The sequence below is a fragment of the Homo sapiens genome, chromosome 4 (genome assembly GCF_000001405.40).
Source record: "Homo sapiens chromosome 4, GRCh38.p14 Primary Assembly".
In the NCBI taxonomy this organism is placed as follows: Eukaryota; Metazoa; Chordata; class Mammalia; order Primates; family Hominidae; genus Homo; species Homo sapiens.
In genome coordinates this window covers 124,019,160-124,037,544 of record NC_000004.12, presented here as the reverse complement: position 1 = coordinate 124,037,544, position 18,385 = coordinate 124,019,160, and the positions used below count along the sequence as shown (strand labels likewise).

Genomic DNA, 18,385 nt, shown 5'->3' with positions numbered 1-18,385 from the left:
TTGTTTGGATGTACTAAAAAGTTTTAAGAATGATTTGTTCTCTTATTCCAATTATGTTGATATGTACAGTGAAAGCTCAAGTCATGTGGCATAACTGAGCTTAGACATGCAAGGGATGGCCTCAAGCCTTCCCACTTGCCAAATTGTATTTCACTCTAAGATGTTGCTTAATATTTCAAGGTAATTGGCTTCATTTTATTTTTGTTTGATTTGAAAAGCTAAACACTGGTTATTAACAATTTAGTAACTTATTTGTCCAAAGTTTTTAAAGCAAATAAATGAATACATAAACACACATGTGCAATGCTAAAACTCACTTAAGAAATTTTCTCTGGTGATAACATAGTAAACAGAAAATCAATAGGCATGCATTGCAGATGGTAAGGTTAAGGTAGATGGGCTTCTAGAGGATACGGGACATGACATTGAATGGCAGTTCAGTATGGAAAGGAGACATCATAGAAAAAGAGAGAAAGAAAATGGTAACCAGAAAGGGAAAACCTCTTTACCCTGTGATGAGATTGGCAAGGTTTTGGCAGGGCTTTCAGAGTTGTCAATAAAAATGAAGTATTTGACCCCATGGGAAAACAATAAGTCATTTAGGGAGAGATATGTTACAAAAGCCCGAAGAGAACTACTTCCTTCTACAAGCTGCAACAGAACTATCAACCAACCCTTCCAGCCATCATAAAGGTAAAAGAATATGATGGTTAATTTTATATGTCAGCTTGATTGTGGTAAGGGAGGACCAGATAAATGGTGAAACATTATTTCTAAGTGTTTCTGTAACAATATTTCCAGAAGAGACAACATTAGGATCAGTAGACTGAGTAAAGACCTACCCTCACCCATGTGGGTGAGCACTATTCAATCCATGGAGGGGCCAAATAGAACAAAAAGACAGAGGAAGGGTAAATTTCCTCTCTCTCTTCTTTAGCTGAGACATTCATCTTTTCATACCCCCCAGCATTGGATCTCTGATATAGGAACCCCTCAAAGCAAAGAAAGGGCAAATGTGACAATTCCTTAAAATGAACAGCTTGAGGAAAATCAGGCTATTATATATTTTCATGGTTGTAAAATAGTGCAGCCACTATGGAATACAGTATGGGGGTTCCTCAAAAAATTAAAAATAGAGCTACCATATTATCCGGCAATATCACTTCTGTGTGTATATTCAAAGGATTGAAATCAAGATCTGTAAGAGATACCCATATTTCCATGGTCATTCTATTTAGAAATTGCATTGTTGTAATTTGCTGTACAAGTTAGCCAATTCAGAAATAATGTCAAACAAAAAGAATCCTATAGACTACACATATTTCAAAGAGAGATTTAATAGACATGACAAAGATTGGCTTTTAGTCTGATTCATAAAAGAATTTATTAGAAGTTATCCTTTCCAAGGTTATTCTGAAAGTGACATTTTAAAATTATTAAATCGAATAATTTAATACAAACTCAAAATTTAAAGTTCAATAAGCTGCTAACCAGCCCTTCATCTCAAACATAGTGTTGTAGCAGTATTTTATCTCTATATTTTATTGAGAAAACAATAAATATTAAGATAGTATTCTGTATATACACAAACAATTATTATTGTTCCTTCTTACTTGAAGTCTAGAAAATAATACATCTGTTTAACATCATGGCTCATCTGGAATTCTCATTGAAAATTTATTTAACAGAGTATTCCAAGAACATCTTTTGTGTCCGCTTACTGTGTAATTTTAAATCCACTGTAAACAATGGAAGGTTAGTGTTTTCCTCCCCTAGTTGTTATTCTTTCTAATAAATCAAGAAGCAGAAACATCTTAAATGATATGTTTGTATATCAGACATTTAGTTTATCAATTATGTCTTCCCCTAGTCATTTCCAGAAATAAACTGGATATTGACACAGACATGATACATTTTTTGTCAGCAATTTTACTGTTAATTTGCACATGTGCTTAATTGTACAGGATGTACTGAGTGTTGCTGCTATTTTTGTCATGGTTTCTTTGTTGAAAATAGGATCTGTTTTTTGTGAGGTCTAACCACTCATACCAATTAACTAAAGAAACTTGTTTGCTTGAATTTTGCCTAATATTTCAGTACTTTTACATTGCCTTAATTATTCACAGTTTTTCTCAATTGTCCTACCAACTGGTTGCTCCTTTTAAAAGATTAGATCAGGCCAGGAGCTGTGGCTCATGCCTGTAATCCCAGCACTTTGGGAGGCTGAAGAGGGTGGATCACAAGGTCAGGAGTTTGAGACCAGCCTGGCCAATATGGAGAAACCCTGTCTCTACTAAAAATACAAAAATTAGCCAGGCATGGTGGTGAGCGCCTGTACTCCCAGCTACTCGGGAGGCTGAGGCAGGGCAGTTGCTTGAACCTGGGAGGCGGAGGTTGCAGTGAGCCAAGATTGTGCCACTGCACTCCAGCCTGGATGACAGAGTGAGACTCTGTCTCAAAAAAAAAACAAAAAAAATTACATCAAAATATAGTAGACAACCTTTTAGCATGGTCTTACCAGAATCAAGATGGTCTACAAACTAATATTCACTCATATAATTTATATAGCATCCAAAGTGAAAGAAATAAAATATGATTTTCTTCTAACCTTTCTTGTAAGATTTCACAGTTGTTCACAGCTTTCTTTCCCTGAAGGTTTAGTGTATCCTTTTTTATTCTCTAAGAAAATTCTATGTGTTTTGACTATTATATGACTTGTATATATTCATATGTAATCACTCTTTAGATTTTAGCACTACCTAATTTAACACAATTCTGATAAAAGTCCTCTTCAAAATTATTAAACTGTTAAATGATGTATAAAGCTACATTTATAAACTCATGCAAATTGGTAACAGTGTAGCTTTATGCCAGTGACATTCATATTGTATTTTATGCACAACCTTCCCAGTAATGATGGATATACAATTAATCAAACATATTTTGAATAAATTGTTGCATACCAAAAGTAAGGGTACTGATGTATAAGCTTGGTGATTAACCATGGGATGACTGAAAGCCCGTGCACTTCATTGTACCTCCTGCTTTCCAGGTTGTTTTATGAGAAGCTACCTGGACACCACACAACATTTACTTGAAAAGCCATTTCCAGTACAGTGACATTAGAGGTGGCCTATACACTAAAAGATAGAACAGCAATGCAGTGAGTGTCTTGTTGAGTTGTAGGATACACTTTCTCCAATTGCAAATCAGATTCTGGCACCAGTGGTTTCTCTCAATGCCTATAAGAGAGGCAATTATATTCTTCTTTGAAAAATAAAATTTTATCTTTCCACTTTAAAAAAATCGCATCATAGAAATTTAAAATGTCTACAAGTAAATGCTACCCTGAAGGAATGAGAAGATTAAAACCAAAATACCAAATATGAGTGTATGTGGAAGGGAAAACTCATAAATGCTTCAGAGCAAACCACCATTTAAGGAGACACCGAGAGTGCTAATTCCTCTTCAAAGGGAAGAAATTTCCAGACAGTTAGAATCATGGAAATAAAGGCTAACCCTAAAAATCTCTTCATTTAACTCATTGTGAAAATAAAATTAGGATGTTTAATTTAGCTATTAACCAAAGAAATCTGATTTGAAAATCAGACTTAGAACCAAAGTATCTGTCTTCTAAACAGCAACAACAAAGAGACATAAAATAACTACAATTTTAAATATTTTGAATATGTTTTTTCCAAATGTTTTATGGAATATCACCAGGTTTTTGTTGCATTGAAGCAAAGAAAATTTACTTATTGTTAACATAAAAACGTGCCTGTGTTGGAAATTTAAATATGCATTATACATTATTTGCATTACAACCTTATTGACAGGTATATCTTTCAATTTAATTATTGTTGCATTAAGATCATAATATAACATTTTAGTTAACTTCTTGTACGATTTTAAATACATAATTTTTTAAAAAACATTTTTATCTTTTTTATTCAGTGATCATGAAAATATAACATAAAACAACCAAAAAGAAGAAGAATAACATGCAGAATGCACACAGTGTGAACATTGTAAGCAAACTTTGGCTTATTTGAAGTACAATTTTATTGTACAAACACAAAACAATAAAGACAATTGATTTTATAAGATATTTTAAACAAGCATTTTGAGTTCTTTACTATACGTAGCGGTTATTGCAAAGCAATTCACAGAATTGACTTTTTTCCTTTAAATAACCTCACAATTAGGTACGACTGCCACGCCTGTTTTGTTTAAAGTCCTATAAGGACAACCAGACTCAATCTGCATGGAGCTAGATATATAATGTTATTTGTTAAATCAATGCTACGAGTGTAAAATTTGCTTGGCTAATATGATGGTTAACAATTATTAGATAGAAGTGGTGTAATTTAAAGGCTTTCCAGTGAGCAAAACAGTATTTATTATTCACCATAATGTGTTCTGTTTTCTCTTCTAGCTTCTTTGTTCTGATTTTTTATGCTTTCTCCTTTAGACCTTATAATAAATATATTCTGAGATCACAGATAATTATTTAATTGAACATTTCTGCTCTGACTCATACTCTACCAAGAGTGGAAGCAAAGGATGAAGATAGGGTTGACTGACTTTCCTCCAAAAAGAAAAAAGAAGGGAAATGAAATATAAACATAGCCATTCAAAACATTGTGGATTTATGTACTTTTGAAATCCAGGGAAGAGATGAATTCCATACAGCATCCCTGGACAGTGTTTGCCAGTGATTTGTACAAGGCTCATATATGAAATACTTCTCTTTAGGTGGCAGGACTTGACTAGAAACATTATATCTGCCAACTCTCAATTATCCATAGACTATTATTAAATTTGAAAATTAAACAGGCCTGTATCTTTCCCTTCTTTTTGCTTCCTTTTGTTTTTCTTAATGCTTTGGCAATTTCACTGCCCCAAGTTTTCCACTAAAAGATCTACCTGGAAAAGTACAAAGAAAAAATTAATCACTTCGAATCCTGTTAATGGACCATGTAAAAATATTTCATTAGAGAAAAAAATTAACTCATATAACACCCACAGATTTCCTAGGAAAATCTTGTCATATTCTGAGGAGCACAGTTTATTTAAAAAATCTTCCGTTTAGGAGCCCTGAAATTTTTTTTAAACTCAAAATGCCAGCCAATATTAAGTAAGTGAGAGTGCATAATATTTACTGCCTGGTGGAAGTTAAATGCAGTCTTGCAAGTGTAGAACATATATGTTATAATCTAGCAGACATTTTACTTGCAATATTTTATTTTTTCCCAGTTCAACAGGAGAATTTGGCAGCAATAAAGAGTTTTATGTGTATGTTACTTTCCAGAAGTTTGGCAAAGTTACTATCACAATGAAATTTCCATTGCATAGAAACTTTACAGCATGTTTTCCAAAAGAACACGATGTTTAGAAACAAAATATATAGTTCAGTATTTTATTAAAGTGACTCAAGTGAAACTGTTTTCTTCTATTGCCTGAAGGGCTGTATATGAAGAAACTAGATTATAACTTCATGCTTTATTTTTCTAACTAAAAAAATACTCTTCTTTCCTCTTCTCACAAAGGTTCAAGAGGGCCCACTCTAACAGTGTGTTTTCATAAGAAGCCCCTCCAATTCCTACCATTCCCATGGTATTTTTAGGTTAGCTGTAACCTGAGGCCTGTCATATAAAGAGGGAAAAAAGTCTAGTCCATGATAGTTTACCCAAATGAACAATCAAGAAACCTGTGCCATTTCTCATTTCAATCCAAATGTTTGGCACCATAAAAACACAGACATAATCTTAGAATAGGTGACATAACTATCCCCCAAAAAACCCTTTCCAATCTCTGTTAATGAAGAGTAAATGAAAAAAGATGCTTAGGAAATTTTTACTGTTTCTCTGTGTCTGACTTTCTCTGACAAATATTTATAATGTGCTCAGTTTTAAGACAATAACCAAAATATTGCTAATTTTGACTCAACACTATAGATATGTTTCTATGATGTAGAAATTGTTTCATTTCCTTCTTGTTTAAACTTTTTATATAAACCTATTTTTAACGAATTTTTCTCTAGTTGATACTGTTTTTTTAAAAAAATCTCCTATGTGCCTCAAAATATGTTAAGCATTGTGATGACATTAAAATCTAGTTGTGGGTCAAATAAGCTACATCCTAAATAAAAATCACCTGAAAATAGTATAAAATACACATAATCTAGTCAGAATACACAGGAACTTGAAAAGGGAAAGATCTTGCTAGAAGTTAAAAAGAACACTTTTTATTGAATAATCCTAATAAGTCTCATTATTATGTTCCCCACACAGCATGTGACACTTGGTAAGTGTTCAAAAAATATTTATTGAATGAGTAAAGCAGTTTGGGGATGGGATAATATGATCTACATAATATATCATATATACTGGAACTTGAATATAAGGATTATATGATAAGGCATTTTATCACCCACAGATATATGGGGATTGCTTTCTGCTGATAAAGACAATAGATTCCAGACCAATATCAGAGACATTTTCTAGGACCATTCTGATGACAAATCCTGGCCAATCAGAAGGACTAATGAGCATGAGCACAGGATTTCAGAAGTTCAAACAATGTCTCAGATTAATGTCCTGTCTTAGGATCCCTGAAGAATTTTAAGGGTGACACAGATGGACTGATTCAAGAGCAGAAAAAAAGCAGCATGTCTGTCATTCAGTATATAAAGTTCCGTGACATTACAACAATATATATTTCTCAACTTTTTTTTTCTTTTTAACACATTCTTCTCTCTTTTTCTTTCCTATCCTGTTGTCATATTTTTCCCCACCACCCCCCATTTCACTTACACAGGTAAAACCAGTATTCAAAATTCTAGAATTTGAAAACAACTTCTCTGACAGTAAAGTGAATGCTACTTAGAAAAGTATAATCAAGGCTTTTTTGTTCTGGCCTAACTGAAGATAAGAAAAACATTCCATGCAGTAAAACTAGTTTTGTCGGCTCAAAGTTTGGGGAATGACATTTATCCAAAGGCCAAATGTCCCATCTTCAGAGCAGAGGCATCATACAGCTATGGCCTCATCACAGAACGCAGACCATCTGGAAAAGTGGCCACTCACCACACCCTTTAGGCCTTCCCTGACAGAGAGAGAGCACGTGTAATGCTGGATTGCTGTTTCACAGCTGCTGGCTCCAGATATTCCCCAATGGAATTCTTTAATTAGTTAGCTCTCTCTAGCCTATTCCCCATGGAGGATGAAACAAACAAACAAAAAAGATGCAAAAGGCTAGCACCTGCAGCCTTCCTGTGCTAAGACTGAATAGAACATAGGCACTGAGAGAGTCCTCTAAGCAAATGAGGGTGAAATAATGCAGCCAGGAAGCTTAACAGAGTCTGCCAATAGGAAGAGTTTCCAGTGGCTTAAGTGTTTGGACAGTTAAATTATGACTGAGGAAATATTAGAATAAAATGTGTATTTAATTCCCACTGCAGGGTTGACCTGACACACCAAAAACTGTCTTGTGTTGAGGAGAGCAGAGTAGAAGTAATTCTATCAGGTCAGTTTGGGTAATTTTCATTTTCTCTTTGAACAATTATCTTCAGAGAAGTGACTTGCTCTACCATAATTAAACTGAACTTAAATTCCCTATAATCCCAGCACTTTGAGAGGCCAAGGTAGGCAGATCACCTGAGGTCAGGAGTTCAAGACCAGCCTGGCCAACATGGCAAAACCCCGTCTCTACTAAATACACAAAATCAGCCAGGTGTGGTGGCACACACCTGTAATCCCAGCTACTTGGGAGGCTGAGGCAGGAGAATCGCTTGAACCAGGAAGGCAGAGGTTGCGGTGAGCCGAGATCACACCACTGCACTCTGCCCTGGGTGACAGAGGAAGACTCCGTCTCAAAAAAAAAAAAAATTGTGATTGAACATTAGATTTATCTTTATTTTCAACAAATTATCCACTTGAGGCCAGGAGTTTGAGACCAGCCTGGGCAACATAGCGAGACCCATCCTTGCAAAAAATTTAAAAATTATCCAAACATCCTGATGTTCACTGTGGTTCCAGCTACTCAGGAGGCTGAGGTGGGAGGATCACTTGAGCCTGAGAGGTTGGGGCTGCAGTGAGCTGAGGTCATGCTACTGCACTCCAGCCTGGGTGACACAGTGAGACCCTGTTTAAAAAAATACACACACACACACAAACACATATACATATATATACCTAATCTCCATTAGTAGTAGTAGTAGTAGTAGTAGTAGAAAATTTTTAAAATTTCTGTTATAGGATGTCAGAAAATATTCATTATGACATTAATTTCATTATTTAACAATATAGGTTTATAGCCAACTATGTTTAATAAATAGCACAATTTTTTAAATGAGAAATATTTAAAGAGTATAAAAATAATTTCATAGAATATTAAAATATACATATACACAAAGATTCTAAGATTGTAATTTTTGAGAAGCCCCCAAATGTTTGGAGCCTTTTAAATTTTTGTAGTATGTTCTATTTTTGTCTCACATGTACTTCTTGTTCAAATTATACAAAAATTTGTTCTTTGTTTTTACAAATACTGGTTGGTGAATCATATGGTGATATACTGGGATTTGAATATTACCTTATTTTTTTCTGTTCTTCTGATAAGTACTCTAACAAGGAGCAAAGTGATCAAATGTAAAACACTTAGACAAAGAAGAAAATTCTGGAAAAGGAACACCCTGGGTCATTTATTTCTGAATAACTGAGGGTTGGTACATGTTCATTACATTTTCTGAATGGTCTACAGGGACTCTTTTGTCTTTGGGTACACTAAGCCCACTGTTTGAAATGCTCTCTAGTTTTAGGGAAACTCTGCTGGTTAAATAAAAATACAAGCTGATTTCTCAGTTTATATAACAAAAATAATGTGTGCTGTCCCAGGTTCAGGTGTTCTGGGTTTTTAAAAAATATGCAGTAAATTTGATAATTAACTTTTGGATTAAGAAAGCATGCAGGATATAGAACACACTTCAGGAAGAAAAAAAGGACGTGTGGTGTTAGCTGAATGGGAAGGCTGCCCAGAACATGTCCCCTGCTATAAGATTAGTTTGGGAATTAGGGATTTACAGTGCTTACCCCCATCTAGAGGAGACTTGGCAATATTCCCTAGGACTGCAAAGATAAATTGGCGGGAGTGAAAGAAATAAGTAAAGGCCAGGAGCTGCTGGAAAGCAAGCTTTCCTGTCACTAAGCCGTGATGTTGTAAAGAGTTCTGAAGTCAACTTTGAGATCCTAGCCTGGGGCAGAGAAAGACAGTTTCTACATGGTAACAGCAACAGCAACTGGCCAGTTCTGTCTCCACATGGTCAGCCTGAGAAACATACTATAAAGCTCCACTACCGAAGAGGAAGTGGATCGTACCTAAGTGATGGTGGGGTCATCCACTCAGCTTCTTGCCCAAGATCTCCATGGCGTATCATCTCACATAGTGTCCTGCATCTGGCGGAGTCTTGAGAATAAGGCTGGATGATGGTGATAACGAGAATGAATGAAGATGGTGAAATCTGGAATGGTCTAGTTGTCAATATTTTAATGTAGCCAACATAGGTAATTTATTGTTGCTCACCTTTCTTTCTTCCTTCTTCCACTATTTTCAGTTCTCTCCATTCATGCCTTCTTTCTTTTCCTCCTCTTCTCTTTTTCCTTCCTGCTCTCCCTAATCTATCTTCTTTCCCTCTCCCACTTCCTATATCCTAGAAAAGGTCCAGCCAGGCAAAACAGCCTGGATTTCCTCAAGCCAAAGACATTCTTTTTGTAGTGCTTCTCTTGGAAATACAAGAAAAGGAAAAGAAAACAAAAATACAGACTCAAACTCCCATAGTTGCCAATTTGATCCCGGCTCTCCTGACTGCCAGCCTCCTCAGTTTGCTGTTTCTCACCTCTCAGAAACATAGATTTCAGGCTTCTGGGATTTTTCTTCTTCTTCTTCATTCTTTTCTAATATCATAGCTGAAGTGTAAAGGAAATTTGTGTATTGTCAAGCAATAAATGCAGGAATCATATCTGCTTATACTGAAAAGTACACCATGCTACTGAAGGAAAAATCCATTAAATGCTTTTTAAATGTTCAGTGCAAAGATTTCTATGATTTTTTTTAATTTTCCAGGTAACATCATTTGTATGGAAGTAGCTTATATTGAAGTCATTGTTGATCATAATAGGCTTTTTTAAATCACAATAGACTTTTAAAAGTATTATCTTTGGTATATTTAAGTCAGGTGTTTCTCTGGCTCAAGAATTAAACTGCCTTGTAACAAAATGTATATAATGTCAGCCTGGGATTGAGTCCTGGACTCTGGTCATCTTCCTTCAATCAACTCAGTATGTAATTTCAGTGAGTTTTGAACCCCATAACCTCTCAGTACTAAATGTCAGAGAAGGCACAGACGGTCCTCATACACTGACACCTGGAATAGACCCAATGGCCCAATGACAAATAGGACTGGATTTGTGTGACTATGGCACAGCATGAATTTCCTTAGATGCAAGCAAGAGGAAATTATGAGAGCTGATGTGCACTCCCCCAACTCCGACCACTAAAAACAGGTTAAAAGGCAGATCTGTGTTAAAATATCTCATCTTCAGCTCTTCACCCCATGTAGGGTTGCCAGATAAAATATGGGCTCTCCAGATATATTTGAATTTTATATAAACAATTATGGATTTTTAGTATACTTTGTCCCATGCAATATTTGGGCCATACTTATGCTAAAAAATGTTATTTATTGGAAAATCAAATCTAACTTTACATCTTGAATTTTTTTCTTTACTAAATCTGGCTATCTTACAACTCTCTCAATTATTCCCTTATCCTACTTTGCCTTCTTTGCACTTATCATACTGTCTGGTAATACTGTTTATTCAGTTTTTACTAGGTTATTGTCTGTGTTCCAGCACTGAAATATTAGCTCTGTGGAAGTGAAAATGTTTCCATTTTATCTCTTGCTGGAACTCTAGCACCTAGAACAATGCTCAGCACATAGTAGCTGCTCAATAAATGTTGAATGAATTTATTGAATGAATGAATGAATGAAACATCTATATCAAAACCATGTTGCTTGTCCATTAATTCTGCAAAAAGTTCATATGGATAATTAAATCTACAATATTTACTGTTTATCTTTACTTTTTATTTCTTTTTTTCTAGTCAGATTGCAACATTTTCAAAGATATGAATGATGCTAATATTTACATATTGTGTACTTACTATGTGCCACCATTCTGAGTCATGCACACTTAATACTCACAAAAACCTTATGAAATAAGTACAATTTTTACTCCCACTTTGGCAATTAGAAAAATGAAGCTGAGCATATAATTGTGTTAAAAATAAGCCTATTATGAAGCAAGTCTTGAGACCTCATTTAAAACTGTTTATGTGTTAAAATATTTTCTGAATGTGTATTTTATGTTGTTATGTCTTATAGTAATGGTAACTTAGCAAACACATAAACAATATTCTTGTTTTTTATGAGAATGTGTTTTTTACAAATCCTGCCAAAAAATAAGAAAGGAAAATTACCAGCAAGCAACTAACTTAATTAATCTTTGCTAAAATATTAAAAGCAATTTATTATTACATTTTTCAGAGATGAAATTGTATGGATTTTAAAATTAATTTTTATGCACAAGTTTTAAATAATTAACATAGTATTAAAGAATACGCTTTCCCGAGAGTTTTCATTCTTGGTTTCACTAGTGCAATTCTACATACATTCAGAGAGAATGAGAAGAGAGGGCGGCAGTATGTTTTCTTATGTTATTCAATCTCTTATAGGCTTCCGTCCAAACGAAGCAACTAAAATGAAACACAGCTTCCCTTCCCAAGAGGGTTTCACTTGTTCCTTTTCTTGCCTCATTCCCTCTACCTCTCGTCTTTCCTCATGTGCTTTTTTGACTTTCCTCCTCTTTCCTTCCACCCACAGGCACTTTTGAAGTGGCCTCCGATGCGAAGGTGAGATCAGAAATACGCCTGTGGAACCCTCTACATGCGGATCTGGCAAGCATTCAACACAAACGCAATTAGAGGGCTTACCCTTGCATGAAATATTTGCTTTCCTGATAGTCACTAACTTTAAACTTTAGGAATGCCAGGGCATAGTGTTTCTGTATCAGAACTAGAATCCTCTACTTCACTTTCTTCAGCTATTATTTTTGAAGTTTGCATATCGTATTAAAGTCCCACCAAACAATAAATAGGAAAGCATGATTTTATTAAAATCCTCTTGAGACAACCGCATCTGCCCTGGCTATTCTTTGATCAGGGTCTGAGAGGTTGCAGCATGCACACTCACCCAGAGGTACTTGAGAGCATTGTTCACGTATTCAATGAATATTGAATGCTAGAGTGAATCTACACTGGGCTTAGATCAGCATAAATCTCCACAACTCACCTTCAATGGTGGACACAGGCAACTAACCAGGAAATTACAAAATCATTCATAAAAGAACCTGATCTTCCATATCCCTCCCTCTTGCAAAATTGCCACAAATAAAGGAAGGCTAAATAGGAATATTTGTTTTACTTTGAGCAAGATGAAAATATTTCAAAGGCACACATTTGCTCAACTCATTGATTCTTACAAAGAAATATCTATATATACCACATATTATATAGTTAAGTATTCAAGTTCTGAAACCTGAAAAAAAAAGTAACTGTTTTTTTTTTCTTTCACCCTGAATAAATTAAAAATGACTGTAGTGTTACATAGTCATTGAGGTCAGTCAACATTTTTTATTCTGTTTGGAACCTAATTGTTTTAGTCTATTCCTGCTGCTATAACAAAATACCACAGACCGGGTACTTTCTAAACAGTAGAAATGTATTTCTCACAGTTAAGAAGGCTGAGAAGTCCAAGATCAAGGTGCCAACAGATTTGGTTTCTGGTGAGGGCTGCTATCTCTGTTTCAAGGTGGTGCTTTGTTGCTGTGTCCACACATGGTGGAAGAGCAAAAGTGAATGCACCCATTTTCTGATGCCCTTTAATGAAGGCCCTAATCCCATCTCAGGATCTGCTCTCATGACTTTATCACTTCCTACAGGCTCTACCTCTTAACACTATTACATTAGCAATTAAATTTTAACATATAAATGCTGGAAAATACATTCAGATTATAGCACTAGTCTGTAAGTAGATAAGTAGATGGTGCACAATAAATAATAACTTTTTTTCAAGATGGAATCTCTCTCTGTCTCCCAGGTTGGAATGCAGTGGCATGATACTGTAACATCCGCCTCCCAGGTTCAAGCAGTTCTCCTGCCTCAGCCTCCTGAGTAGCTGAAATTACAGGCACCTGCCACCATGCCCAGCTAACTTTTTTGTATTTTTAGTAGAGATGGGGTTTCACATGTTGGCCAGGCTGGTCTTGAACCCCCAACCTTCAGTGATCTGCCCATCTTGGCCTCCTAAAATGTTGGGATTACAGACATGAACCACTGCACCTGGCCCACAATAAATAATTGTTAAATTGAAATTCTAATCATAAAGTATGTAATGGCCAGTGATGATGAGCATTTCTTCATGTGTTTTTTGGCTGCATAAATGTCTTCTTTTGAGAAGTGTCTGTTCATTTCCTTCGCCCACTTTTTGATGGGGTTGTTTGTTTTTTTCTTGTAAATTTGTTTGAGTTCATTGTAGATTCTGGATATTAGCCCTTTGTCAGATGAGTAGGTTGCGAAAATTTTCTCCCATGTTGTAGGTTGCCTGTTCACTCTGATGGTAGTTTCTTTTGCTGTGCAGAAGCTCTTTAGTTTAATTAGATCCCATTTGTCAATTTTGGCTTTTGTTGCCATTGCTTTTGGTGTTTTGGACATGAAGTCCTTGCCCACGCCTATGTCCTGAATGGTAATGCCTAGGTTTTCTTCTAGGGTTTTTATGGTTTTAGGTCTAACGTTTAAATCTTTAATCCATCTTGAATTGATTTTTGTATAAGGCGTAAGGAAGGGATCCAGTTTCAGCTTTCTACATATGGCTAGCCAGTTTTCCCAGCACCATTTATTAAATAGGGAATCCTTTCCCCATTGCTTGTTTTTCTCAGGTTTGTCAAAGATCAGATAGTTGTAGATATGTGGCATTATTTCTGAGGGCTCTGTTCTGTTCCATTGATCTATATCTCTGTTTTGGTACCAGTACCATGCTGTTTTGGTTACTGTAGCCTTGTAGTATAGTTTGAAGTCAGGTAGTGTGATGCCTCCAGCTTTGTTCTTTTGGCTTAGGATTGACTTGGCGATGCGGGCTCTTTTTTGGTTCCATATGAACTTTAAAGTAGTTTTTTCCAATTCTGTGAAGAAAGTCATTGGTAGCTTGATGGGGATGGCATTGAATCTGTAAATTACCTTGCTCATCATCACTGGCCATCAGAGAAATGCAAATCAAAACCACTATGAGATATCATCTCACACCAGTTAGAATGGCAATCATTAAAAAGTCAGGAAACAACAGGTGCTGGAGAGGATGTGGAGAAATAGGAACACTTTTACACTGTTGGTGGGACTGTAAACTAGTTCAACCCTTGTGGAAGTCAGTGTGGCGATTCCTCAGGGATCTAGAACTAGAAATACCATTTGACCCAGCCATCCCATTACTGGGTATATACCCAAAGGACTATAAATCATGCTGCTATAAAGACACATGCACACGTATGTTTATTGCGGCACTATTCACAATAGCAAAGACTTGGAACCAACCCAAATGTCCAACAATGATAGACTGGATTAAGAAAATGTGGCACATATACACCATGGAATACTATGCAGCCATAAAAAATGATGAGTTCATGTCCTTTGTAGGGACATGGATGAAATTGGAAACCATCATTCTCAGTAAACTATCGCAAGAACAAAAAACCAAACACCGCATATTCTCACTCATAGGTGGGAATTGAACAATGAGATCACTTGGACACAGGAAGGGGAATATCACACTCTGGGGACTGTGGTGGGGTCGGGGGAGGGGGGAGGGATAGCATTGGGAGATATACCTAATGCTAGATGACATGTTAGTGGGTGCAGCGCACCAGCATGGCACATGTATACATATGTAACTAACCTGCACAATGTGCACATGTACACTAAAACTTAGAGTATAATAAAAAAAATAATAATAATAAAAAAAAAATAAAGTATGTAATGCAAAGATATCTTACGCAGTATTAAAGTATATGCAGAAGTCATTGATCTTCTTCAAAATAAAGAATAAAGTAACTTTTATTGAATGTTCAGGATGTGCCAAACATATTCTAAGGATTCTGCAAACATTAAGTCTTTAGATAATGCTGTGAGATAAGGAAACACTTTACGGATGAAAAAACTGAGGCTTGGAGAGATTAATATAATTGCCCCAGATTACACCTAGTAAGGAGTCTATATTAATTACTTGTAGCTGCTGTAATAAAGTAACACAAACTTGGTGGATTACAAAAACAGAAATTTATTTTCTTTAATTATTGGAGGCCCAGAGTCTGAAAACACTATCGCTGTGCCAAAATCAAGGGGTGACAGGGCCGCCCTGTCTCCAGAGGCTCTAGGAGAGATTCCGATGCCTGCCTCTTCCAGTTTTTGATGGTTGCTAGTATTTTTTGGTTTGTGGACACATTACTCTCATCTTCAAGGCCAGCATCTTTGAATTTCTCATTACTTAATTGAAAGGGTTTGGCTGTGTCCCCAACCAAATCTCATTTTGAACTGTAGTTCCCATAATCCCCAGATGTCATGGGAGGGACCTGGTGGGAGGTAATTAGATCATGGAGGCAGTTTCCGCATGCTGTTCTCACGATAGTGAGTGAGTTCTCAGAAGACCTGATGGTTTTATAAGGGGCTTCCCCCTTGGCTTGGCACTCATTCTTCTTCTCCTTTCTGCCACCATGTGAAGAAGAACATATTTGCTTTCCTTTCCGCCATGATTGAAAGTTTTCTGAGGCCTCCTCAGCCATGCTGAACTGTGAGTCAATTAAACTTCTTTCTTTATAAATTGCCCAGTCTCCAGTATCTCTTCATTAGCAGCATGAGAACAGACTAATACATTTATCTTCATAGCACCTTCTCTGAGATGTGTGTGTCTAATCTCTCTGTGTCTGTCTTATAAAGACACTCTTGATGGCCTACGTTAGTTTGTTAAGGTAGCCATAACAAAATACCAAACTTGGTAGTTTAGACAACTGACATTTATTTTCTCAGTTCTGGAGGCTGGAAGTCCAAGCTCAAGATGTGGAAAGGTTTGGTTTCTTCTGAGGCCTCTCTTCTTGGCTTGCAGAAGGCTGTCTTCTTGCTGTATCCTCACAAGATCTTTCCTCTGCCTAAACCCATCCCTGGTGTCTCTTTATGTGTGCTAATCTTCTCTTCTTATGAGGACACTAGTTATATTAGGTTAGGTGCCAACCCAACAGCCTCATTTAAACTTAGTTATCTTCTTAAAGGCCTTCTGTCCCAATACAGTCATAATCTGAAGGACGAAGATTAGGATTTTACCATATGAATCTGGGGGAACGCAATTCAGCCTATAAAAGCACCTGATAGGATAATCCAGAATAATCCCCTCATCTCAACAGCCTTCATTTAATCACCTCTGTGAAAACTTTATAAGGTAACTCACTGGTTTCCAGAGATTACGACCTTCTGTCTTTTGAGGGCCATCACTCAACTCAACACAGGGTAAACCTAGGATTAAACAGGCAGTCTGTGTCTCGGGCCTCTGACATTTACCGCAATAATATACCTCATCTGCAATATGTAACTTTTGTCTAGCTACAAAGAAAACACTATGGATAAAAATGTTAACAAAATGCTAGACTATGATAAAATGCAGATTAGACTAAAATAAAAATACATATATATGTATATGTATACATATATATTTTGTGTGTGTGTGTGTGTGTGTGTGTGTATGCTGGACATTTTAAGGAAGGGAGAGAGAAAATGAAACTGGTATTTTTGGAGGGTTAGTTGTCCTGTGGTTTGGAGTCTGGTGTAAATAGACACCTGAGATTGGAGTCTAGGACGGCGAGTAGGAAACTATTACAGTAGTTTATTCACAAAATGGTAAGGGCCTGAGCCAGGGTAATGGTGAGAGGAGAGGAAAGCTTGGGCAGGAGAAATGAAAGAAATGCCAAAACCTGTGACTGAGTGGGTCAGAAGGACAACAGAGACAGAAAAATGTTCACCCCTTCAACAACATTTATAAGCACCATCTGGATGCCATCCATTGTTTGGATCCAAATATGGAGAGTTAAATCACATTTCTTAACTTCAAAAAGTACATAGTGTAATGAAAAATGAGAGCAAATAAACAAATGCTTAAAATAGGGTGTGATGAGAACTCCATGCAGGAACACAGTATAAAAGCACTGCATGGAATGGGTGTGTACATCAGGAAAGGGGTTTTATGTTAGGTTCTTCCAGAAGCCAACTCAAAGATTTCATTTCAAGCAAAAGGTGAGATGAATAAATACAACTGGAGTAATAGGGAATTGAGTAGTGGGAGAGAGGGAAGCCAATGAAGGATTAATTTTCAAGCAAGTTATCAGTGTGGGTAACTGGAGCTCAGTCAGTCCTGCCGGGGAGCTCTGTGGGGAGCCAGTGCAGAACATATTCAGCATTATCTCACCCAGGGGTGAGGGAGCTAGGAGATTTCTATATGAGAGTCACAATGAAAAACTAGAAAACGTAGTGGTAATTGTCATAGAGATGCCATAGGATCTGGCTAAAGAACAAAACTCATCTTTCACATTTAAGTCTTAATTTAGTAGCCCTAATTAAGATTTCAGTCATGGGGAAATGTTTCTGTTTTATATCACCAGAGAAGAAAAAGATTTGGTTAATACTTAGAATGCATCAGAAACATTCAACCGAATAATTACATATTGATGTAATAACAGAGTATCCACCTCTCAGCATGAAGCGTGTATGTGTTTTTTTCTGGTTCCTTAAGATGCTCCATACACAGGATCTGCATTTGCCACCTTCTATAGTTCAGGATTCTAATTCTTACAAATGAGTTGACTGTGCAAATAAGGCAGCATATCTCTGTGTTAACATTCATTTCTCTTTTACTTCATTTCTTTAAAGGTTTCATAGAAATCTTTTTTTTTAACAAAGGACTATTCCACAATATGACAATAAACTGGATTTCTATAGTCACAGGAATAAAAGAAAATCCACTGAGCTTATAGAGACAGCTCTTGATTTCCACCTGAGCTTGTTTTCCTTGCAGCAGCCTAGATTATAAATCACTCAGAACTTCCCTGCATAAGCGCCTCCCTTCACCGTGACTTCCCACTCCCTTATACTGCGTGCACTCAGTGCCTTATCAAACTCTTAGAGTGCTAACCCATCAGGGATCTTATCACCTGCAGTTTTTATGGACTGTTCAATA

At 36.4% G+C, this 18,385-nt stretch overlaps 2 long non-coding RNA genes across 2 annotated transcripts in view; both read left to right on the top strand.

Moving 5' to 3' along the window:
* The window catches only part of LOC105377407 (uncharacterized), a 218,744-nt gene extending 214,636 nt beyond the window's left edge, over positions 1 to 4,108 (top strand). The window contains exon 5 of the long non-coding RNA XR_939176.3: positions 3,955 to 4,108. This is a non-coding gene — a long non-coding RNA (uncharacterized LOC105377407). The remainder of the gene's footprint in view (positions 1 to 3,954) is intronic.
* Positions 4,109 to 9,460: 5,352 nt separating this feature from the next.
* Positions 9,461 to 12,250, top strand: LOC124900776 (uncharacterized). The gene is made up of 2 exons (XR_007058265.1): positions 9,461 to 9,563; positions 11,942 to 12,250. It is a non-coding gene; the product is annotated as an uncharacterized LOC124900776 (long non-coding RNA).
* The last annotated feature ends 6,135 nt before the right edge of the window (positions 12,251 to 18,385 follow it).